Here is a 25,317-nt window from a genome sequence, read left to right on the forward strand (position 1 = left end):
TGGTATCGTGTGCTTGTAGTCCCTTGGGAGTTATCTGGGCGGCTACTTGGGAGGCTGAGGTGGGAGGATCTCTTGAGCCGAGGAATTCGAGGCTGCAGTGAGCTCTGATCGTGCCACCGCACTGCCAGCCTGGGTGACAGAGTGAGACCCTGTCTCGAAACAAGCAAACCCAAAAAGGGGTAAACATAAAACAATAAATACATAGTTTCATAGAGGATGATGAATACTAAGGGAAAATAAAGAGAGCAGGGTAGGGGAGAATCTAAAGACCATGCCAGGTGCACAGTTGAAATGGGTATGGTGGATCATCATTGTGGAAGTGGATGATCTTAAGGCCCCCAGTGGCTTCCAGACTCCTGACCATGACTTTCAGGGCCCTGAATGATGTGGCCTCCACTGGCCATCTCCACAACTCCCTTCTCTGCTGATCCTCCAGCTGCAGCCACACTTAACTCCTTTGCGTTCCTCACACATGCTCAGGTCTTCCAGTCTGCACTGCTGCAGGTGGCGGTCCCTATGCCTGGAATCCTCTCCTCCATTTCTGCCTGACCAGCTGTTTCCCATCCTTTAGATCTCAGCCTAAATGTCACCAGAAAGGATTTCACTGACCTCTACCCAAGTAATCTCCTCATTACCCTATCACCAAACTTTTTTCATCTCTTTCTGGCAATTATCAACATTTTTCATGTATTTGTTTACATGTTTAGTGTCTCTGCAGTGAACTGTGAGTGCCTTAGGGGCAGAGGCCTTGTCCTTCTTGTTCATTCCTGTATCCCAGCACCTAGCACAGAGTCTGGCACATTGTGGCCTCTCAATCATATTTGTGAAATGAATGAACAGGTGCCATGCTGGGATTAAGAAAAGGAATCACACAGGGTCCTTGCTTCTGAGGCATTCACAGGCTGAGGAATCAGCCAGTACGAAGGCCAGGAAGTGAGCAAAGATACTTGAGGAAAATTGAAGAACTGAAGTAGCTCAGAGCCAAGGTGGGAGGTAAAGGAGGGAGAGTGAGTATGGCAGGGGATTGGTGAAAGGAGCCCAGTGAATGAGGCATTCGAGTTGCCCGTCCATGTGCAGGTGAATGGAGATAGAGGTAGAAGCTCTTCTGGCTGAGGGACAGCAAGATCAGAGGCATTGGGTGGGGATGGGAATTGTAGAGCATGTTGGGGAAACAGCAAGAAACCTGGAGTGGCGGAAGCAGTTGTTGCAGGACCTGAAGAGCCTTGGATATCAGACCCAAGAGTCCAGACTTGTTCTTATGCTGCCAGCTCCCCTAGTTCTCCTTGGTATCCCTGACTTTCTACCCCTGGCTCCACAACCTTTCTGAGCCCTGCATGCTCTATGCCCTCCATGCCCCAGGCCTCACCTCACCCGCAATGTACCATTTCCAGGGCGCTTTGGGAACCAGGCCGATCACTTCTTGGGCTCTCTGGCATTTGCAAAGCTGCTAAACCGTACCTTGGCTGTCCCTCCTTGGATTGAGTACCAGCATCACAAGCCTCCTTTCACCAACGTGAGTACTTCCCACTGACCTTGGCCTTTCTCCGCCCTTTCTCAGTCTTGCTTACTTACACTTAACCCTCAAGTCCTCTGGGCTTTACCTCCCACTCCTCTGAGATTTCCCTACCTCCAGCCAGAACTGTCTTCACTGCAATAACAATGCCTAACATTTATTTATCCAGCACCTGTTGTGTGCGGCTGCATGAGAATTAGCTCATTTCACCCTCATCACTTGCCTGTGAGGAAACCGGGGTTTACAGAGGTTAGGTAACTTGCCCAAGATCACACAGCCTGTGAGTAGGAGAGCTGGAATTCAAAGCTATCTTTGTCTGACTCCAGAGCCTGTGACTTGAACCTAAAGCCTCCATTTCCTTCCCTGATTGGTCCTACCCTCTGTGCATTCCATTGGCCAAGGGTGGCAGATGCTATTATCAATTTTAAAGGAGACATGCAGGCACAGGTTATTTAATGACATGTCCAAGGCCACAACCCAGGTAGTCTGGCTTCAGTGCTGCCTCTCACCCCATCAAGGGGCTCCCTTGTCATGCGATGCTCACCGGCCCCCAGTTCCTTGCTTATTCTTTGTGTCTTCCAGTGACCTTGTGTCGTTGTTCATATTGTATCTCCCGGAGCCTGGCAGTAGGAACTTAATTAGTATTTGATGAATTGACTTAATAATTTTCCAATAGACATCAGAAATAATACTTAGTGTGAACAAAACACTTAATTTCATTCTTACAACCTTTTCTCTGCATAGATTTTACTTTTTCCTTTGCATGCCAGTATTTACAGAGGTTTTGAGCAGCAGTCAAAAGCCAGAGTACCAGAGATCATAGTCTGACTTGGGTTCTTACTAGTTGCATGGCCTGGACAGGGTACTTTACCTCTTTGTGCCTCAGTGTCCTCATTTTAAAAATAAGCTGGTAATGATTCTTGTTACCCTCTTGTGGTAAGGACTGAATGTGTCAGTGGCAGTAACACGCCTTCAGTGTTGTCATATGCCGCCTCCCTCTTAGAATCAACTGAGCTTATCAACGTACAGATCCTAGAGTCCTCAGTTAATGGAAACCATTGATGTTCTGATAATTTCGCACTCACTATTTTTTTTTTTTTGAGATGGAGTCTTGCTCTCTTGCCAGGCTGGAGTGCAGTGGCACGATCTCAGCTCACTGCAACTTCTGCCTCCCGGGTTCAAGCGATTCTCCTGCCTCAGCCTCCTGATTAACTGGGACTACAGGCGCACCACCACGCCCAGCTAATTTTTGTATTTTTAGTAGAGACAGGGTTTCACCATGTTGGCCAGGATGGTGTCAATCTCTTGACCTCATGATGTGCCTGCCTTGGCCTCCCAAAGTGCTGGGATTATAGGCATAAGCCACTGCGCCTGGCCTCGCACTCACTATTACAGTGTAGACATTGCCCATCCATCTCCCTCTGGCTTGCTTGCCTCTGTCTCCTTGCCTTCTCAGCCAGTTGTCTTTCCAAGTCCCCACTTCCTTGCTTTCTGTGGCTTACTAACCTGCTCCAACAAGGCTCTTCTTCGCCACTGTTAGCATTCTCACTGAGGTCACCAGTGACCTCCAAATTGGCAGGGGTTATTTCCCAGTCTTTCTCTCACCTGACCTCCCACTGGCACTTGACCCTGCAAGCTTCTCCTTCCTGAACTTCCCTGTTCCAAGACACCACCTGTCCCTGCTACAATCTAACCTCTCAGCATTTTCCTCTTTCCACTGTATCAGGGGCTCCTTTCTCTCCACCCACTGTTTAGATGTTAGTGTTTCTCCTCTTTCTGTTTGCTTACTAGCTATGTGACCTCAGATGTTATCTAGATTCTGTATGCTTGGGTTTCTTCATAAGTAACCTGGAGATGGTTATATTCCTACCTCAGGATTAAATGTGCAAATCTATGTAAAGTGATGAGTGCAGTACCTAGCACTGTGTCAACATGCAATAAATATTAGTTGCTATTATTACCATTACTTGCTTTGCTATAAATATCTGTTGACTCCTGTGGCTTTTACTCTTCTCCGTGTACCTCCCAAATTTATCTGTGGCCCAGACTCAGACTCCTCCATAATTACAGGCCTGTGTTTCTTTTTTCTTTTTTTTTTTGAGACGAGGTCTCACTGTTGCCCAGGGTGAAGTGCAGTGGCATGATCATCGCTCACTGCAGCCTCCATCTCCTCAAGCAGTCCTTCCACCTCAGCCTCCAAGTAGCTGGGATTACAGGCACCCACCATCACACCCGGCTAATTCTTTGATTTTTAGTAGGGACAAGGTCTCGCTATGTTTCCCAGGCTGGTCTCAAACTCCTGAGTCTAAGCAGTCCTCCTGCCTCAGCCTCCAAAAGTGCTAGGATTACAGACATGAGCCACCACACCCTGTAGAAATTTTTTTGGTTTTGTTTGTTTTTCATTTTTGATGAAGAGTCTCGCTCTGTCACCTAGGCTGAAGTGCAGTGGCAGAATCTTGGCTCACTGCACCCTCTGCCTCCCGGGTTCAAGTGATTTTTGTGCCTCTACTCTTGAGTAGCTGGGACTACAGGCATGTGCCACCACACCCAGCTAATTTTTTGTATTTTTAGTAAAGACGAGGTTTCGCCATGTTGGCCAGGTTGGTCTCGAACTCCCTGCCTCAAGTATTCTACCTGCCTTGGCCTTGCAAAGTTTTAGGATTACAGGCAAAAGCCACTGCGCCCAGCCAGAATTTTTTTTTTTTTTCCAAGACGGAGTTTTGCTCTTGTCACCCGGGCTGGAGTGCAGTGGCACGATCTTGGCTCACCACAACCTCCACCTCCTGGGTTAAAGCGATTCTACTGCCTCAGATCTCCCAAGTAGCTGGGATTACAGGTGCCCACCACCATGCCTAGCTAATTTTTGTATTTTTAGTAGAGATGGGGTTTCACCATGTTGTCCAGAGTGGTCTCCAACTCCTGACCTCAGGTGATCCATCCGCCTCAGCCTCCCAAAGTACTGGGATTATAGGTGAAAGTGACCGCACCCAGCCAGAAATTTTTTAAAATCTAGAAAAATATGCCAGGCGCAGTGGGAGGCGGGCAAATCACTTGAGGTCAGAAGTTCAAGACCAGCCTGGCCAACATGGTGAAACCCCATCTCTGCTAAAAAAGTTAGCTGGGCGTCGTGGCGCCCGCCTGTAATCCCAGCTATTCAGGAGGCTGAGGCAGAAGAATCGCTTGAACCCGGGAGGCGAAGTTTGCAGTGAGCCGAGATCGCGCCACTGCACTCCAACCTGGGAGACAGAGCAAGACTCCATCTCAAAAAAAAAAAAAAAGTAGAAAAATATAAAGATGAGGCTGGGCGCAGTGGCTCACGCCTGTAATCCCAGCACTTTGGGAGACCGAGGTGGACAGATCACGAGGTCAGGAGTTTGAGACCAGCCTGGCCAAAATGGTGAAACCCCATCTCTACTATAGATACAAAAAATTAGCCGGCGTGGTGGTGCGTGCCTGCAATCCCAGCTACTCGGGAGGCTGAGGCAGGAGAATCGCTTGAACCTGGGAGGGGGAGGTTGCAGTGAGCTGAGATCACGCCATTGCACTCCAGCCTGGGTGACAGGGTGAGACTCCATCTCAAAAAAAAAGAAAATTACACAGATGAATACAACCACCAACCATATACCCACCATTAGAAGTGATAATTGTTAACACTTTCTCATGTTTGTTTCATCTTCTCTTTTTGTTAATAAAAGAAATAAAGCGTTACAGATAAAGTTGGTAAAAGATGAAGTCTCTTTTTGGCCCCTGGGGCTAACCCTGTTCCCTTAACAACTGTTGTGGATATAGTGTATTTGGTGTGACTCCTTTGATGTTCCTTCCTATACTTTCATTGTGGCACTGAGCATCCTGGTACTGATCTCCAGGTCCAAAGTGCAAGAACTTCTGTACTTCTCTAGAGCAAATAGTTAGAAGAGGAAGGTACATTAAAAAAAAAAAATTTTTTTTTTGAGACAGAGTCTCACTCTGTGGCCCAGGCTAGAGTACAGTGGCACAGTCACACATCACTGAAGCCTCACCCTCCTGAATGCAAGAAATCCTTCCATCTCAGCCTCCCTAGTAGCTGGGACTACAGATGTGCACCACCACGCCCAGCTAATTTTTTTATTTTTTGTAGAGACAGGGTCTCGCTATGTTGTCTAGGCTGGTCTTGAACTCCTGGCCTCAAGTGATCCTTCTACCTCGGCCTCCCAAAGTGCTGAGATTACAGACATGAGCTACCACACCTGGCCAGAAGGAGCATTTTAAATTCTATTAGATACTCACCGATTGGATCCCAAACTGGTTGCTCCAAAATGTAGACTTCTGCTACCGGCCGTGTAGAAGAGTGCGCATTTCCCCACAAGTTAAGCTTTTCAGTTTTTGCTAGTCTCATGAGTGAGAAGTAATTGATGCCTCGTTATAATTGTAATTTGCTTTTTCCTAATTACTAATGAGGTTAGACATCTTCTGAGTGTGTTGGCTATTTGGGTTTCCTTTGCTGTGAATTGTTTACCCCTAACCTTTGCCTGTGTTTTATCTTGGCATTATTTGTCTTTTTTTGTTACAGATCAGCAGGTGTTTTTTAACACAAGGGATGTTACTGTTTGTTCTTTAGTTTGCAGACTCTCCTGCTAGCCTGTCTATCCTAGCTTTGGCGTCTTTTGATGAAAACTTTTAATTGTCATGTAGTCTGAACTGTCTTGGTCTTGGAGTGTTTTTGTTTTTTTGAGACGGAGTCTTGCTCTGTCGTCCAAGCTGGAGTCCAGTGGCACAATCTTGGCTCACTGCAAGCAACCTCCACCTCCTGGGTTCAAGCAGTTCTCCTACCTCAGTCTCCCCAGTAGCTGGGACTACAGGTGCTCGCTACCACCCCCAGCTAATTTTCTTGTATTTTAGTAAAGACAGGGTTTCACCATGTTGGCCAGGCTGGTCTCGAACTCCTGACCTCAAGTGATCCGCCCGCCTTATCCTCCCAAAGTGCTGGGATTACAGGCGTGAGCCACTGCACCTGGCCTGGAGTGTATTGTTTTAATAAATGTCTAAAGTAGCCACGGGGGCACTGAGACGGGACCTCTGCTCCTCCTTTTCCTGTAGCTCCATGTGTCCTACCAGAAGTACTTCAAGCTGGAGCCCCTCCAGGCTTACCATCGGGTCATCAGCTTGGAGGATTTCATGGAGAAGCTGGCACCCACCCACTGGCCCCCTGAGAAGCGGGTGGCATACTGCTTTGAGGTGGCAGCCCAGCGAAGCCCAGATAAGAAGACGTGCCCCATGAAGGTGGGTCCTGTGGGTTCGGGGGCCCTTTCTTCCTGTTCCATGTCCTCTAGGCCCCCAAGACTATGTCATGGCAAAATGTGGGGAAAAGCACCAGAAGGACTTAGAATAGAAAGATGGAGATTTAAGTCCTGTTTCTGGCATTTGTTAGCGAAGCTGCATCACCTTGGGCAGAAGACTTTGCTTCTCTGAACCTTCATTTCTACCTACAAAATAGAGATGCCAGTCCCTGCTCTGTCTCACTCCTAAAGTGTCATGAGGGCCAGGTGAAAAAGTGCTTGTAAACTGCAAAGTGCCACATCAGTAATAATAACTAATATTCATGTAGCACTTACTATGTATGTCAGGTACCACGCTAAGAGCTTTACATGTATCAACTCATTTAATACTCACACTGTTCCATGAGGAAAATACTTATAATATCCCCACTTCATAGAGAGGACACCGAGGATGGCACAGAGAGGGTCAGTGTCTTACCCAGGATCACACAGCAAACAAGTGGTAGAGCTGGGATTCAACCTTAGGTAATTTGGCACCATTGTCTACCCACTTAACTTGAATACCTTCCTGCATCTCAGCAGGTAAATGAGAGGCTGTCATATCTTATTAAAAGAAATTTATACATTTCTGGCACTTTGGAAATAAACCCCCAAGTATGTCTTTCGGTGTATGTGCTAAAGTCTTGGGAAAGTGGTTGGAAGAACTATGAAATTTGAGAAAGGAGACCTAGCTCACAGCCCCAACAGTGCCCTTACTGGCTGTGTAACCTTGGGTAAGTGTCTGACCCTCAGTGGGCCTTGGTTTCCACCTTGAAAATGAAGGCATTGGATTAGCCAATCTTGAATGTCTCTTGAAGCTCTAGTCCTTGGTTCAAAATCCAAGGTCTGCTTCTCCCCAGACCCTCATCAGTGCTGCTGGGTCAGCAGGATGTGACATGTGAACAGGAAAGACTCTCCTGCTGGAATCCAGAATTGAAGCCACGGCACTCTGCTCAGCCCCTGGCCTAGGAATTGCAGAGTGACATTTCTCCTAGGCCATCCTGTGAGAGTGTTTTGGCCTGAGTCACATCACCCAGCTTCCCCCACCTACACTTCCCTGGCCCCATCCCCAAATGGCTTTCCCTCCCCATCAGTAAGCCTTCCACCACTCTCTTTCTGCAGGAAGGAAACCCCTTTGGCCCATTCTGGGATCAGTTTCATGTGAGTTTCAACAAGTCGGAGCTTTTTACAGGCATTTCCTTCAGTGCTTCCTACAGAGAACAATGGAGCCAGAGGTACTTGGAGGGGGTAGCGTTTCTGGGTTTAGGGGAGGCGCATGGAGCTCATGAGCATTCAGCACCTTCTGGCACTCTCCCCATCTTCCCAACTCTGATGTATGAGACCAAAGGTGCAGGTGCTCTGTCTGTTGAACTTGGAATCCTGTGTGATCTGTTCCCATGTCCACGCCTGACACGGTGGAACATTGACCCGCCATGAGATTGAGAAAGAGTTCATCGGTTGATAAGGGATGTCATAAAAAGAACATTCTGCAGTCGCATGAGTCTCAATTTCCTCCTCTAGGCGTGAGAATCACTCCTGTGTTACCTTACTCTTCCCAAGGTGAAACTGGAAGCAGCTTCTAGAGAACAGCTTCAGGTGCAGACCGAGAAATGACGTCATCCTGATAATTATTGGACGTGTTTATTAATTGCACCCCATTAGCCCCTGTTTTTAAAAAATATAGGTTAGCAGGACGTGGGCACAGGCCGTGAAACATTTATAGGGCGCCTGTCACGTGTGAGACATAGTAATCAGAGGCCAATGGTGATGTGTGAAAATGAGGATGACCAGCTCTGGTTTTCTAGGAGCTATGGTCTCATAATGACAATAATCAGCATAGTGTACTTGTCCTTAATGTTATAGCATGGCAGGAAAGACCATGGGCTTAGAAGGCAGACATTGGTTAGGAGGTGCAGGGAACATACTAATTCATGTGCGGTCAAAGCACTTGGCATTTAATAGGGCAAAGGTAAACAGATGTAGAGAAATGAGTCTCATGCCTGTAATCCCAGCACTTTGGGAGGCCAAGGTGGGTGGATCACTTGAGCCTAAGAGATCAAGGCTGCAGTGAGCCATGATGGTACCCCTGCACTCCAGCCCAGGTTACAGAGCAAGGGCCTGTCTCAGCAAAACAAAACAAGCACAGGCCAAGGAGTGAGATAGCCAGCGCTGATGGTATCTGCCTCGTAGTGCATGAAGTGCATGTCATACACTAAGCAGCCAGCCAGTGTTGGCTGTCAGTGTTATTACTCACATGCTTTATTTTATTTAAGACTTTGAGATAGTTCATGAAGTGGGTATTATTATCAATTTCCATTTTATAGGTGAGGAAACTGAGCCCAGTGAAGTTAAATAACTTCCCAAGGTCATTGAGCTGTTGAGTGGACAGCTCAGGTCTGTTTGTAAATCTTTAATAAATAACAACAGCTAAGATTCATTTAGTGTCTTCTATGTGCCAGACACTGTTCTAAGTCTTCACAGGTATTGACTCACTTAATCTTTCCCTGAGTCTGTGGGTTGTTACTGCCATCTGTGCTTTACACTTAGAGAAATTGAAGCAGAAAGGAATAAGGTCCCTTGCCCAAGGTCATAAAGCTTGAAGTTGCAGAGCTTGGTTTTGAACCCAGAAGTCTGAATCCAAAGCACCAGTTACTTTATATATTTATATTTGAAATGGGTCTTGCTTGTCTCCCAGGCTGGAGTACAGTAGCATGATCATAACTCACTATAACCTCAAATCCCTGGGCTCAAGCAATCCTCCCCGCTCCGCCTCCCAAGCAGCTGGGAGTGCAGGCATGTGCCACCATGCCTGACGAATATTTTGTTTTGTTTTGTACAAACAGGGTCTTGCTATGTTGCCCAGGCTGGTCTTAAACTCCTGGCCTCAAGTGATCCTCCCACCTCAGCCTCCCAAAGTGCTGGGATTACAAGCATGAGCTGCTGCGCCCAGTCCCAAAGCACCTGTTCTTAATCACAGTGGATTAAATAGCTGTGCCTTTAACAGCTGCCAGTTCCCTTCTGGGACTTGCCTTTGGACCTAGCTTTGGACCTAGTTCATGTGCCACTGAGGATCCTCAGTCATGGCAGATTTAAATCTTCCTCATTGTTGATCCCAGATAGCACACTCCCATTCTCTGCCTGCATGGTTCTCCCCCATTCACCTCCGAATGACCTGGAGCTATTGCCAGAAGGCAGACCTGCCCTCAAAGGATGGAGATTTGCCCATATTGACAATATGCCAGGAAAAAAAGAAAGAAAAAAAAGCCACCAACTCTAAAAGCAACTCCAAAAGCAAATTCCAAAAAGCTAGAAAAAGCACACAATCCTAGTAGGAAGAGAAAGGACAATGGTGCATGGGGAGTGTTGTTGAAACACTTGTTTATTGCCCCATAGCTTTGTTTGAGTTCATTGAGTTGTAAGAATTACATGAGGGTTTGAAGAAGTTTGTGCCTTACAGCCAAGTTTTTGGGAAAGGAAAATTAGTAGGGAAGATGAGGTCCCTAGAGGGAGTTTGAGGGAGTTGATGGTCCCTTGGCAGCTGCCTGTCTTCCTTCAACACATATTTAAGAAGCACTTCCTGAGTGTCAAGGGCTGGTTTGGATGCTGGGGATATAGGCCAGAATAAGGACATGAACAAGGCAGGGAATGAACAAGGCCAGAATAAGGCAGATAAGGTCCCTGCCCCAATGGAACTCATAGTCTAACAGGGGAGATAGTGAATAAACTTTTACATAGGATAGTTCCAGAGTGAGATGGTGCTTAGAAGGATATAAACAGGTGGTATGTGATTGGCAGGGCTAAGACCAGAAGGATGAGAAGGAGCCAGTTGTGTCAGAGTTAGAGGAAAAGTAGTTCACAGCAGGAAGTCAGGAGCAAAGACCCTGAGGCAGGAATAAGCTTGGTATGGTGAAGGAGCAGAAAGAAGGCAATGTGGTATGGAGTGAGTGAGAGAATGGTAGGATGTTGCTCTTATCTGTTGCTGCATAATAAATCACTACAAAACGTAGTAGCATAACAACAAGTTTTTTTTTTTTTTTTTTTGAGACGGAATCTCACTCTGTCACCAAGGCTGGAGTCTCGGCTCACTGCCAGCTCCACCTCCCGGGTTCATGCCATTCTCCTGCCTCAGCCTCCCAAGTAGCTGGGACTACAGGCGCCCGCCACCACGCCCGGCTGATTTTTTTGTATTTTTAGTAGAGACGGGGTTTCACCGTGTTAGCCAGGATGGTCTCGATCTCTTGCCCTTGTGATCCACCCGCCTCGGCCTCCCAAAGTGCTGGGATTACAGGCGTGAGCCACCGCGCCCGGCCAACAACAAGTTATTATTATTTCTCATGGGACTGTGGGTTAACTGGGCTTAGCTGGGCAATTCTTTTGGGTTTTCATTTTTCCGTTTTCTTATGGAATCCCTGCTGTACAAAGTTTAAATTCAGGTTAAACATCTTATTTCTTGGAACGAATAACCTTTATTCTTGCAATGAATAGCCTCAGTAAATGCTTTTCTACTTTCTGTCTTTGAATTTCTCTAGCTATCTCATAGGTACTTAGGTATCTCATAGAAGTGGAATCATGCAATATTTATCTTTTTGTGTCTGGCTTATTTCATGTGGCATATTTCATGTGGCAAGATTCATCAGTGTTGTAGCCTGTATCAAAATTTTAGTCCTTTTAAGGCTGAATAATAGTTCATCGTATGTATATACCACATTTGTGTATCTCTTCATCTATTGATGGACACTTGAGTTAGCTGGGCAGTTATTGCTTGTGGTCTCATGTGGCTGCAGTCAGCTGTCAGCTAGGGCTCAAGTTATCCTTTTTTGGTAGAGATGGGTGGGGATCATGCTCTGTTGCTCAGGTTGGTCTTGATCTCTTGGCCTCAAGTAATTATCCTGCCTTGGCCTCCCAAAGTGCTGGGATTACATCATGAGCCACCATGCCCATCCAGGGCTCAAGTTATCTAAAGGCTTGACCAAGGCTGCGTGCAATGGCTTACACCTGTAATCCCAGCACTTTGGGAGGCTGAGGCGGGTGGATCACTTGAGCCCAGGAATTCAAGACCAGCCTGGCCAACATGCCAAAACCCCATCTCTACTAAAAATATAAAAAATTAGCTGGGCGTGGTGGCACACACCTGTAATCCCAGCTACTCAGGAGGCTGAGGCATAAGAATCACTTGAACCTAGGAGGCTGAGGTTGCAGTGAGCCGAGATTGTGCCACTGCATCCCAGCCTGGGCAGCAGAGTGAAACTGTCTCAAAAAAAAAAAAAAGGCTTGACTGAGCTACATATCCAGGAAGTCCCCCTCATGTCTGGTGGGTGATGCTGCTGTCATCTGGGAGCCAAGCTGGGGCCACCAAGAAGCATGTATACACTTGACCTCTCCATGTGGCTTGGGCTTCTTACAGCATGGCACCTGTGTTCTGAGAGGGAGCATCCAGGGAGTGAGTGTCCCAAGAGACAGGAAATAGAAACTGCGGGCTCCCTAACAACTGAATCTGGAAACCGGCACAGTGTCACTTCTGTCGGGTGCTATTGGGAGGAGGCAGAGCCCACCTAATGGGAAGGGGTTCAAAGACTTGACCACTTCTAATCTGCCACACGGGAAAAGAGATCAGAGAGGTGGGCAGGGGTCAAAACACGCGGGTTTATAGGCCCTGTGAGGCAATCTGTTAAGAAGCCTGTGAATGATTAGTAGGGATGAATTTGAATGTGTATGAACATTTAACATTAAACATTTCTTAAGATACAGGATACTTCCTTGCTATGCATATTTGTCCTTGGGGAGAAGAGAAGAATGGAATCAGAGAGTGAAGCTCTTCCCAGCCTTACTGTGCGATTAGGCAGCTGCTCCCCTTCTCTGGCCTCAATGTCCCATCTATAAAATGAAGGGGATGGGCACGATGAGTGGTTTTGAAACTATCTTCAGAGTTTTCAAGAAGTGCTTGTCAGGCATAGTGGCTCACACCTGTAATCCTAAGGGATTACAGAGAGGTTGAGGCAGGTGATCGCTTGAGCCCAGGAGTTCAAGACCAGCCTGGGCAACGTAGGGAGACCCCATCTCTACAAAAAATAGAAAAAATTAGCCAGGCATGGTGGCGCATACCTGTAGTTCCAGTTACTTGGGAGGCTGAGGTGGGAGGATCAGGTGAGCCTGAGGAAGTCATGGCTGCAGTGAACCCATGATCTGTCCACTGCACTACAGCCTGGGCAACAGATTGAGACCATCTTAAAAAAAAAAAATGCCTCTAGGGCCTTTATGGGGGGTAGCAGTAGGGGACCAAGTTCCAGGGGCTCAATTCTTCCTCCCTATTGCCTTCAACCAATAACCCTTAAATATATCAGGGTTCTCAGTAAGGCAGAAGAAGTTTGTAGGCTACAAGTCTAGGTGTGTCAGACTTAAGTTAGGCTACAGGTAGCAGGAAGCCCGAAATAAGAGCAGATTGATAGGGTTTATTGTTTTCTTAAGTAAAAGAAGATCTGGGTATGCAGTCCAGAGCTGAATGCCAGCTCCATAGTGTCATCAAGAATCCAGCTGGGTAGAGTGGCTCACACCTGTAATCCCAGCACTTTGGGAGGCAGAGGCAGGCGGATCACTTGAGGTCAGGAGTTCAAGACCAACCTGGCCAACATGGTGAAACCCTGTCTCTACCAAAAATACCAAAAAAAATTTAGCCGTGCATGGTGGCACACACCTGTAATCCAAGCTACTCAGGAGGCCAAGGCAGGAGAATCACTTGAACCTGGGAGGCGGAGGTTGCAGTGAGCGGAGATCCTGCCACTGCACTCTAGCTTGGGTGACAGAGTGAGACTTCGCCTCAAAAAAAGAGAAAAAGAATCAGGCTTCCATCTCTTTGTTCAGCCATCCAGTATTAGCTTTTCTATCACCTCATGGGCCAAGATGGCAGATGAAGCTCCAGCCATCACATCCCAACTGGAGGAACAAAAGTTGCGAAAGGGCATGTCCTCCCTTTTTAAGAAGCCTTCCCGGAAGTCCATTATAACCCTTTTGCTTACATCTCATTGGCTAGTACGAGGGCACATGGGCCATACCTAGCTGCAAGAAGTACTTAGAAATGTCTGTCTTTCTTTTTCTTTCCCCCACCTCGCCCGGGGTATGTTTGGCTGATAAGAAGTGTCTTTATTTTAGGCTGCCACGTATCCAGCTGAAAACTGGGTTCGAGGGAAAGAGGATAAGAGGTATTTCTTCTTTACCACGTGATTTCTGAGGATCCTTCCAGCTCTGCTCGTTCTGAGCCTGTGAATAGCCTGGCACAGCTCTAATTCAGCTGACGCTTACTGCACATTGACTATTGGAAGGCAATGCACCATCGTGCCAAACCATTCTCAGGTATAATGGTCCAGGAATTTGAGCGCATGGCTTGTCATTCTCCCAGGCTGCCACCTCCCTGTGGGAACCAGAATGAGACTGGAAGAGTGAGAGGGAGCCAGCCATGCAGAGAGCTGGAGGGAAAGGCAGTCCTTCATGGCAGGGACATCCAGAACAAAGCCCTGCCTTGTTCATGTCCCTGGGTCTTCTGCACTCAATATGGGTTTCATCCACTGGTGGTCCCACAGATACATACTGGACACATAAATGGATGCTGTATACAGAGAAGTCCTAGTTTGTTGGAGAATCTCAGCAGCACAGGCATGGTGGTGAAGAATCCCAGAGGTTCACTGGGCCCAGCAGCAGGAAAGCCAGCTGACTTCAGCTGGATAGCAAGAGGCAAAGGGCCTGACCAAGGGTGAGCAGTCACCGGGAGGTGGTGCTGGTCAAGATTTTCTTTCCAGCCAAGATCCCTGTTCCCCCCTCATTCTTTCCAGACAGCGCTGTCTTACCTCACCAAAAGTAAGTGAGCAGATCAGCCTTAGCCTCTTGCTGCTTGTTGGGTCTGAGCTGATGTTGTCCCACTGGGACAGCTCTTTGCTGGTCCAGATCCAGGTAGAGGGGACACACATTCCAAGTCTGGAATTCACCGAAGGTTGGCTGCAGGTGCTTTCCAAGAGGTCGGGGGGTGGCAGGGGGCCGCAGATCCTGGTTTTATCCTGATATTCCAGCCCCACTGGGAGATCTACTCTGGCTTTCCTTTGAAAATCCTTTTGAGGTAGCATCTGAAAGATTAGCTGAAGACCTGGCCTATAGTAGCTACTCAGGTAATATGAATTCCTTCCTTCTCTAACCCCTGACAGCCTGATCGGGTCTTTCTGGTGAGGTCCCCAAATCTTTCTCATTTATTCTAAAAATATTTATCATGCCTACCATGTGATAAGGTCCATGCTGGGGCTGGGAATCAGAAGATTAAGCCACAGACTCAGCTCATTGTCAAGGGTGGGGGAGATGGGAGTAAGGGGTAGTAGTTAAGAACATAGGATCTGGAGCACACTGCCTGGATTTAAATCCTGGCTCCACCAATTCCTAGCTGTGCAACCTTGGGCACGTTACTTAACCTCTGTGCCTCAGTTTCCTCACCTGTAAAATGAGAATGACAGTAATACTTCCCTTACAGAGCTCTTGTGAAAATCAAATGACTTAATATACACAAACAATTGGAGCATTGCCTATCACATAATGAGGCCCAATAAACAATGCACAATTATGTACATATAAACAAAACTGGAGTCTAGGCCAGGCGCGGTGGCTCACGCCTGTAATCCCAACACTTTGGGAGGCTGAGGCGGGCGGATCTTCTGAGGTCAGGAGTTTGAGACCAGCCTGGGCAACATGGCGAAAACCCGTCTCTACTAAAAATACAAAAATTAGCCGGGCATGGTGGCACGTGCCTGTAATCCCAGCTACGCAGGAGGCTGAGGTAAGAGAATCACTTGAACCTGGGAGGCGGAGGTTGCAGTGAACCAAGATCACGCCGCTGCACTCCAGCCTGGGTGACAGAGCAAGACTCCATCTCAAAAAAAAAAGGAAAGAAAACTAGAGTCTAGCAAGATAAGTGTCGCACAGCTGGACCATCAAGGAACACTTTCTTGTCACTGGTCCGAGGCCTGTGTAAGTGACACAGGCCTTGGATAGCGTATGTGGGAGCAATGGCAAACAGGCTGCTTGGGTCCCCAGCCTCACCAGCTGACAGTTCCATGGGCAGGGAAAGTGGCTGCAGGGCATATCATTGTGCAGAAGGCAGCAAGAGAAGTGGGACAGGGAACACTCCCTAAGGAGGTGAGGCTTGGGAATTGCGACTGACCTTGGAGGTGTGGAAGGTGTTTGCTGAGCAAGCAGTCTCTGTTGGGTGTGGAGAATGAGTGGCATGTCTGTCACAGCACTGTTGTGTGAGGGAAAGATTGGAACGACCTCACTGTCTAGCAAGAGGGAAATAGGTAGGTAAATTGCAGTTTATTTGTACAAAATGGAAAACTTTTAGAGAAGCTAATACAACCACATGATCCACATGATCAACATGGCCAAGTCTCTGAAACATAAAGTTGAATTTTTAGAAAGTTGATTAGATTTATATGTAACCTTTAACTAGGTTACATGCAATGTGATGATGATAAGAGCTAGAATTCTTTGAGAGCTTTCTGTGTGCCAAGGTACTGTTCTAAATGCTTTGCTTTGATAATACATTAATCCTCTCAGTAGCCCTATAAATGGATATATTAATTAGCTTGGCTGTACTATTCATTTAACTACATACATGTAGATCAAAATATCATATTGTATATCGTAAATATATACAACCTTTTTTTATTTTTTATTTTTATTATTATTTTTTGAGACGGAGTCTTGCTCTGTTGCCCAGGCTGGAGTGCAGTGGCACGATCTCAGCTCACTGCAAGCTCTGTCTCACAGGTTCGCCATTCTCCTGCCTCAGCCTCCCAAGTAGCTGGGATTACAGGTGCCCACCACGACGTGTGGCTAATTTTTTGTATTTTTAGTAGAGACGGGGTTTCGCCGTGTTAGCCAGGATGGTCTCGATCTCCCGACCTCGTGATCCACCTACCTTGGCTTCCCAAAGTTCTAGGATTACAGGCGTGAGCCACCGCGCCCGGTCAACTTTTTTAAATTTTTTTTGAGACAAGGTCTCACCCTCCCACCCTGGCTGGAGTGCAGTGGCACGATCATGGCTGACTGCAGCCTCAACCTTCCAGGCTCAAGCGATTTTCCCATGTAGCCTCCTAGGTAGCTGAGACCACAGGCACACACCACAACACTTGGCTAATTTTTTGATATTTTTGGATAGATGGGGTGTTGCCATGTTGCCCCAGGCTGGTCTTGAACTCCTGGGCTCAAGTGATCTGCCCACCTCAGCCTCCCAAAGTGCTGGGATTACAGAAGTGGCCACCACACCCAACCACAATTGAAAAAAAACAAAAACAACAACAAAAAAACAGCTTTATGATGTGGGAACTGTTATCTCTATTATGTGGATGAGGAGCTAAGGCACAGAGTGGTAAAGTCACCTGCCCAAGTTAGCTAGTGGCATAGTCAACATTGGAACAAAGCATTCTGGCTTAACCTACAATCTTCATCATTCCACTCCATAGAAAGCACGCAGAAGAACACTCCCCTCCTTTTTGATGTCTATAGTAAAAGTGCAATCATACATTAAAACACATTACCCTCTGGGAAGGATGATGGCAGGATGAGCTTGTATTTAGGTGTGTGTTTTTTGTTTTGTTTGTTTTGTTTTGTTTTTAAACCTGAAACAAAGCAAAGTTAGTTTCTGCTGATTTGGGTCATGGGTATATAAATTATTAAATTATTTTCTGTATTTGCCTGGATGGTTTGAAATATTTCATAGTTTTTATTTGAAATTTTCATTGAGGTCATTGTACATTTACATGCAGTTGTAAGAAATAAGACAGCAACCTCCCATGTACCCTTTACCCAATTTCCCCCAATGGTAACATTTTGCAAAACTATAGTACAGTATCACAACCAGGATATTGACATTGATACAATTTACCCATCTTACTCAGTTTTCTTGTACTTACTTCTGAGTGTGTGAGTGCATGCCTGTGTGTGTGTGTGTGTGTGTGTGTGTATTTCTGTGCAGTTTTATCGTGTGTGGGTTTATGTATCCACTACTATAGTTAATACACTGAACAGTTCCATTATCACAAGGATCCTTGTGTTGCCAGTTTATAACCACACCCACCTCCCTAAACATATACACCCCATTCCTAACCTCTGCCAACTACTAATCTCTTCTCCATGCTATTGTTTTAAAATGTTTATATAAATGGAACCATACAATACATAACCTTTGAGATTGCCCACCCTCCCTGACCCAAGGATAATTCCCTTGACATCATCCAAATTGTTGCCTGTATTGATACTGTGTTCCTTTTTTTGGTGGGGTTCATATTCCATGATACAGAGGTACAGCAGTTTGTTTAACTGTTTACTTGTGAGTGACGTCTGGGTTGTTTCCAGTTGGGGGCTATTTTATGAATAAAGCTGCAAGGGACATTGGTGTATAGGCTTGTGTGAACATAAGTTTTCATTTTTCTTGAATAAATGCCTAAGAGTACAATTGCTGGGTCATGTAACTGCATGCCTAACTGCCAAACTGTTTTCCAGAATGGCTGTTCCCATTTCATACTTTTAAGGAAAGGATTTTGGCTGGCAGAAGGCACTTCCCCCCTCCAGCTGGAGGGAAGAAGTATACAGAGATCTAGAACTTGAAAGTGCATTGTGAACATGGAACAGCAAGGGGTTTCGTGCTGCTGAGAGGTAGTCTGGGTTTAGCTGAAGAGGGAACACAGGTTTGCTCCTCATTTGTTCAGTCAAGAAGTATTGACCGGGCGCGGTGGCCCACACCTGTAATCCCAACACTGGGAGGCCTAAGTAGGCAGATCACTTGAGTCCAGGAGTTCGAGACCAGCCTGGGCAACATGGCGAAACCCCGTCTCTACAAAAAAAATGTAAAAAATTAGCTGGGCCTGGTGGCACTTATCTGTAGTCCCAGCTACTCAGGAGGCTGAGATGGGAAGGTCTTGCCTTGAGCCTGGAGGCGGAGATTGCAGTGAGCCGAGATCACGCCACTGCCCTCCAGCCTGGGTGACACCTGGGTGACAGCAAGATCCTATCTCAAAAAAGAAAAAGAAAAGAAAAATATTTACCAAGCTCTTGGGTGTGCCAGACACTATTCTGCGCATACTGGAGCACTGCCTTCCCACAGCAAGGACAGAGGTGAAATAATTATGAGATGGACTGTGTATGAGGGGGAAGCAGGGGCTTGGGAGGGCATGATAGGGGCACCTGCAGACCCCTGCTCCCTTCCATAGCGCAGGGACTATGCCTGTCTTGTTTTCCTCCAGGTCCCAATACATAGTAGGCAATCAATAAATGTTTTTTAAATGTTGAATGAATGATTCAAATCCAGTATACATAGTCCCTGTGAGTGTGACCTGGCCGTTGCTTCTGTAAGCAGCTGCATGTCCCAGTCCTGCCATGTAGGTAAAAGGGCAAAGGCTTGGTCCAGACACCCCACCCTGGAATGAATTACTGCACCGCAGATTGGAAGCCAGTGTGACATATAAAAGGTTGGAATGCTCTCCTGTAAAGTTTTAATTGTTCGACAAGCAAAGAGGGTTGTAAATTCCATGTGGCGGGACAGTATTGCATATTGTGCCTGTTGCCGCCGCCACCAAGGTTCCTTATCAGCCCGTTGGTATTTCACAACCTCTCGTGTTTCTTGCGTGTTGCAGGGGCCCCTCCGCAGGGTCTCTGGGGCATGGTGCAACACCATCCTTTTTCCCGTGGGGGTGGCAGCCAGGCTCTCTGTGCGTCCTCTGACTTCCCTCATTCCATCTCCTGTCTAGATTTTCTCCAAAGGAACATCCGGTGCTTGCCCTGCCAGGAGCCCCAGCCCAGTTCCCCGTCCTAGAGGAACACAGGCCACTACAGAAGTACATGGTATGGTCAGACGAAATGGTGAAGACGGGAGAGGCCCAGATTCATGCCCACCTTGTCCGGCCCTATGTGGGCATTCATCTGCGCATTGGCTCTGACTGGGTAACTTCCCCCTTCCTCTCTCACTGGCTAACTTGGATGTGTCCCTGAGCATGGCCCTGGCCTGTAGGGATCGGCCCCGCGTCCCAGCCAGAGCAGAGATCTCTCACTTGTTCTGGTTCGTGGGATTGTGTCCCATCATCCCACTGCAGCACATATCAAAATGTAACTCCAGAGTGCCTGCCAGCCAGGTCTCACTTTAGCAGCAGCTGTTTTTATCCTCATTTTACAGATGGATAAACTGAGAGATCAAGCCAGACCCCAGGTCAGGCAGCAAGCCATAAAGAGGCCACAGTCCAGGAGTCCCCTGTCCTAGCTCAGTGTCTGGCTGGTAGACTCCGTGTTGAAAAACTGACTGTGGAGATGAGGCATGGCTCCCAAGAAATGAAGATGTCATCCTAACAGAATTTGGAGGCTGTTTAAATGTGCAGAATCCTTGTATTCCAATGAGGTTTTCACCTCTGTGTGAAAATAACAGAATCAATATAGATGGTCACCTTGATTTACCTAAGAAGATATATAGATATGTTAGAAATGCTCATTGCAGAAAACTTGAAAAATACTAAAATTAAAATTCACTCATAGCCAATTGATGAGGTAATCTTACATTTACCCACTAAACTCTCCTCTTTCCCCCAGCCCCCACAAAGAAAGGGAGCCAGAGCCAGGATGTCTTATGAGTGGCTCCAACCAGACATTCAAGGAATAGTAATTCCCATCTATACTTTCCTACAACATCAAGAGATATAAGATTCTATTTTTTATAAAGCTAGCATAACACTAATACCAAACTCAGATAAGGTCAGCTCAGAAAATTATAGCCTGTTCTTGCTTATGAACACAAATGCATAGGCCCTAAGTGAAATATTAACAGGTCAAAGCCAATAACATATTAGCACACAACACAAAACACGTAAAAATCTATCGCAAGAATGTAATCAAATTTACTATATTAACACCCAAAGAAGAAAAATCATATGATCATCTCAATAGAGGCCAAGAAAGCATTTGATAAAAGTCACCACCTGTTCATGATAAAAACTCATAACTAACCAGGAATAGAATGGACCCACCTTAACTTGATAAAGGCTATCTCTCGAAACCACAGCAGATAGCATACCTCCTGGGGAGCTATTGGAAGTGTTCCCACTGTAGTTGGGAATCATATAAGGCTGCCCGTTAGTACTGCCACTGTTCAGAATTCAGTGAATGTCCCAGATAATGCAGTAAGACCAAGAAAAGTAATTTTTGTTTCAAAATGCCAGGCTTTCTGTGCTGTGCCCACCGCCCAGAAAGAACCACTGTTAACTCCTCCTCCTTCAATGCTTTTTTTTTTGAGACAGAGTCTCACTCCATTGCCGAGGCTGGAGTGCAGTGGCAAGCAAAATCACAGTTCACCGCATCCTCCACCTTCTGGGCTCAGGTGGTGGTCCTCCCACCTCAGCCTCCTGGGTAGCTGAGACCACAGGCGCACATCACCACACCTGGCTAATTTTTGTATTTTTTGTAGAGATGGGGTTTTGCCACGTTGCCCAGACTGGTCTCCAATTCCTGAGCTCAAGCTATCAGCCTGCCTCGGCCTCCCAAGATGCTGGGATTACAGGTGCGAGGCACTGCGCCTGGTCCTCAGTGTTTTCTTTAAAAATGTAGTTAGGCTGGGCGTGGTGGCTCATGCCTGTAATCCCAGCACTCAGGGAGGCCGAGGCAGGCGGATCACGAGGTCAGGAGATCAAGACCATCCTGGCTAACGTGGTGAAACCCCGTCTCTACTAAAAATACAAAAAATTAGCTGGGCGTGGTGGTGGGCACCTGTAGTCCCAGCTACTTGGGAGGCTGAGGCAGGAGAATGGCGTGAACCCAGGAGGTGGAGCTTGCAGCGAGCAGAGATCACACCACTGCACTCCAGCCTGGGCGACAGAGCAAGACTCCCTCTCAAAAAAAAAAAAAAAAAATGTAGTTAGGCCAGGCACGGCTGCTCATGCCTGTAATCTCAGCACTTTGGGAGGCCAAGGTGGGTGGGTCACCTGAGGTCAGGAGTTCAAGACCAGCCTGGCCAACATGGCAAAACTCCATCTCTACTAAAAATACAAAAAGTAGCCGGGCATGGTGGCGGGTGCCTGTAGTTCCAGCTACTCGGGAGGCTGAGGCAGGAGAATTGCTTGAACCCCAGAGGCGGAGGTTGCAGTGAGTGGAGATCACACCACTGCACTCCAGCCTGGGTGACAGAGTGAGACTCCGTCTCAAAAAAAAAAAAAAAATGTAGTTAGGTTCTTCCTGTATAGCCTGTCTTTTTCCACTTACCAGGTCTTGCTTCTGGGGTTCCAGGGCAGTTGCCAGTATTTAACCCTGTTCCCCGCTCTCCGTAGAAGAACGCCTGTGCCATGCTGAAGGACGGGACTGCAGGCTCGCACTTCATGGCCTCTCCGCAGTGTGTGGGCTACAGCCGCAGCACAGCGGCCCCCCTCACGATGACTATGTGCCTGCCTGACCTGAAGGAGATCCAGAGGGCTGTGAAGCTCTGGGTGAGGTCGCTGGATGCCCAGTCGGTCTACGTTGCTACTGATTCCGAGAGTTATGTGCCTGAGCTCCAACAGCTCTTCAAAGGGAAGGTATGTGTGGGCCAAGTGGGAGTGCAGTAGGAAGGGAATGAAAGGAGGAGCCAGGATGGTCCCACTGCCCACTGCATGCTTCACGGGCTCCCCTACAAGCCTTTTGCCTGGACCTACCATTCCTCTTCAGTTCCTACCCTCCTTCAAACCCCAGCTCAGAGGCCTCCTCCGTAGTCTTTCCAGGTTTTCATCCACTCCTGGAGCTCACGTATCCCTGCTGGGACCTTCGTGGCCCTATATCATTTCTTCTCTCGGGCACTTTCTGGACTGTATGAGACTGGTGTAGAAATATGTCTTATTTCCTCCCAGGAGCTGTGGGCTCCTTGAAGGCAGGGTCCAAGGCTGACTCACTGTTAACATTCCTTGATGTCTAGCCTGGTGCTTCGACCTCTTTGGGACTGAAACCCTGCCTTACCATCACCAGTGTCTAGTACAGTGCCTGACACTTAGTAGGCAGTCAGTTTGTTGAATGAGGATGTAGAGAGTGGGCTCTGGGGAGAGATCCAGTATAGTGGAGGAGTTAATAGCAGAGACTCTGGAGTCAGAGAACTTGAATTTACCCACTCTGCAGCCTTGAAAAAGTTATTTGACCTCTCTGTGCTTCTGTTTCCTCATCTATAAAATGGGACTGAATAGTACCTATCTCATAGGGCAGTTGTGAAGGTCAGATGTAAAGAAATTGAAACAGTTCCTGCTACAAAATAAGTGCTCAATAAAGTTAGCTATCATCAGTAGTAGAAATTGGTGGCTGATGAATGAAGGAAAGGATCTTTGTGCTTAGCAAACTGTTGAAGAAGCCGTGAATAGTGAGTATTCAGTACATGAGTAAATACTAGAATGTTCTTGGTCAGTGCTTACTATATCAGTGAAGAGTAATACTCAGGCAATGAGTGAGTACGTATTGATAAAATGACTGAATTAGTATTAAGCATTCCATAGGACTTTGTAGGATGAGTGAAAACCGTAAATGCTGTGCAGGCCTTAAGAGGCAGACACTGGGTACCGCTGGCTTTATATCAAGGGCCTCCCCTTCTCTTTCACCCCAGACACAGGAAGCTCCAGTGCAGAGAGGAAGTGCTAAGTCAGCACATTCTAATCTCCTCCCCACCTACTGAACAGAAAATCAGAGCTGGGGCTGGGCACAGTGGCTCATGCCTGTAATCCCAGGCCAAGGCAGGAGAATTGCTTGAGGCCAGAAGTTCGAGACCAGCCTGGCCTAACATAGCGAGACCCCCATCTCTATTTAAAAAAAAGAAAGAAAGAAAGAAAGAAAAGCAGAAGAAAAATATAATTAAGAGAAAATCAGAGCTGAGAGATCTCAGGGGTTGTCTAACCCAACCCCTCTATTTTATAGCTGAGGAAACCAAAATTCCAAGAAAGGATAGAGTTTACCCAAGCAGTCCCAGAGCTAATTATAATGGGCATGACACAGAGTGGGTAAGTTTCAGAATGTGAGTGGAATTGTTTGGGGGATTTTGGCCATGATTAAACTGGTATTATTTCTTTGCTACAATCCAGATAGCAAGATGATGATTTTTGTTACATCAGAAATCTCTGTGGAACAGCAAAGCACTTTCAGCCCCAACTCTGCCCACATTCCCCCCACCTACCTACAACCCCCAACTACCTCTATACTAAGCTGAAGCATTTGGAGAGTCCCAGGGAGTTTTTTTGTGAGTTTTTGGAGTCAGTGTATCTGTTACACCTTGAACCTCTTGCCATTTTCTATTTCCTGTCCCTATGCCAGTCTTCTCATCCCTCCCCACCCCTCAACTCCCTTCTCCATGGGTTCAGAGGCCACCTTTATCCTGAACTAAGCCTTCCTCCTCCATTAAGCTGGTCCAGTGCTGAGTAAGGGTACCAGTAAATAAGATGTGGTCCCGCTCTCCAGGGCTCACATTCTAGACCCAGGAAAAGAGACTGCAGAGAGCTATAACGTGGGCCACAAGGTGGATTCAGGAGCTTGCTAGAGAGATGGGCAGGTCCATTCATTCACCTGTCCACTCACCAGATTTTTACTGGGGCAGGCTCTGTGCTGGGCCTGGCCAGCAGTGGAGAGCAAACCAACACAGCTCTAGCCCCAGTCAGGGGCAGGAGATGATGCTAATCAGAGAATCACTAAGGAGTGGAAACTATAAGCAGAGATGTGTGCTCCAAAGTAGAGCAGCAGGGTTCTGTGAGAGTGAAGAGCAGAGGATGCTGGCCTAGGCTAGAGGGCCAGGGAGCGCTTCCCCAAGGAGGCACCACTGAAGCCGAGATGCGAAGGAGAACTAGGAGCTAACCAGGTAAAGGGAGGTACACCCCAAACAGCACAGCACGCACAAAGGTCCTGAGGAGGGCGGGAGCCTGGGTAGGGGCTGGATGATGGGGGTGGGATAAGAAGAGGCCCAGCGAGGACCTTGTAGGCCACGTTCACAATTTGTCACCCTTATCTGAAGGGCAATAGGGCATCATTAAAGGGTGTTCCACTTGGAGGGCGGGAAGGACAGGTGTGAGGTTATCTCGAAAAGTTTCTTCTGGCTGCTCTGTGGTGAGCAGACCAGGAGAGGCAGTGAGGGGACCAGGGAGAGGCTGTTGCAGTCCATCAGGCAAGAGATTGTGATGATTGGGCCCAAGGAGTGGCCCTCCCTCAAGAGAAGGGCTCACCTTTGGGGAATATCTCAGGGGTAGATTGGACGGACCTTGGGCTTGGATTTGGGGTACATGGGAGATGGAGGCATCCAGCCCAGAATTGGAAGGTGTGGAGCTCTCTGTTCCCCTCTCTGGTTTGGTGGGGAAGTCCACCAGGCCAGGGCTTTAGGAAAAATAGAATTTGAGCTTAGCCTTAAGAGTCTGGTCAGGCCAAGCACAGTGGCTCACACCTGTAATCCCAGCTATTTGGGAGGCTGAGGCAGGAGGATCACTTGAATCTCAGAGTTCAAGACCAGCCTGAGCA

At 47.3% G+C, this 25,317-nt stretch overlaps 1 protein-coding gene and 1 long non-coding RNA gene across 5 annotated transcripts in view; one reads left to right on the forward strand and one right to left on the reverse strand.

The window, feature by feature from the left end:
• Positions 1-25,317, forward strand: part of POFUT1 (protein O-fucosyltransferase 1) — a 30,779-nt gene that overhangs the window by 800 nt on the left and 4,662 nt on the right. Inside the window, exons 2-6 of one of the 4 annotated variants that reach the window (XR_007067447.1) lie at positions 1,392-1,513; positions 6,590-6,772; positions 7,930-8,042; positions 13,954-14,154; positions 19,584-19,667. Coding sequence is in view for 3 of the 4 variants with exons in the window: in NM_015352.2 (NP_056167.1) it covers positions 1,392-1,513; positions 6,590-6,772; positions 7,930-8,042; positions 19,584-19,776; positions 22,140-22,382 (854 nt within the window). In the remaining variant the exon portion in view is untranslated. Of the gene's footprint in view, positions 1-1,391; positions 1,514-6,589; positions 6,773-7,929; positions 8,043-8,328; positions 9,245-13,953; positions 14,155-19,583; positions 19,777-22,139; positions 22,383-25,317 lie in introns of those variants that run through there. The other 3 variants (NM_015352.2, XM_047440079.1, NM_172236.2) reach the window with 3 other exon arrangements.
• On the reverse strand, positions 15,690-22,362 carry LOC124904884 (uncharacterized). Its single transcript, XR_007067560.1, has 2 exons — positions 22,075-22,362; positions 15,690-20,280 (listed from the first exon to the last, which is right to left on the reverse strand). It is a non-coding gene; the product is annotated as an uncharacterized LOC124904884 (long non-coding RNA).

The sequence above is a fragment of the Homo sapiens genome, chromosome 20 (assembly GCF_000001405.40).
Source record: "Homo sapiens chromosome 20, GRCh38.p14 Primary Assembly".
NCBI classification, from domain to species: domain Eukaryota; kingdom Metazoa; phylum Chordata; class Mammalia; order Primates; family Hominidae; genus Homo; species Homo sapiens.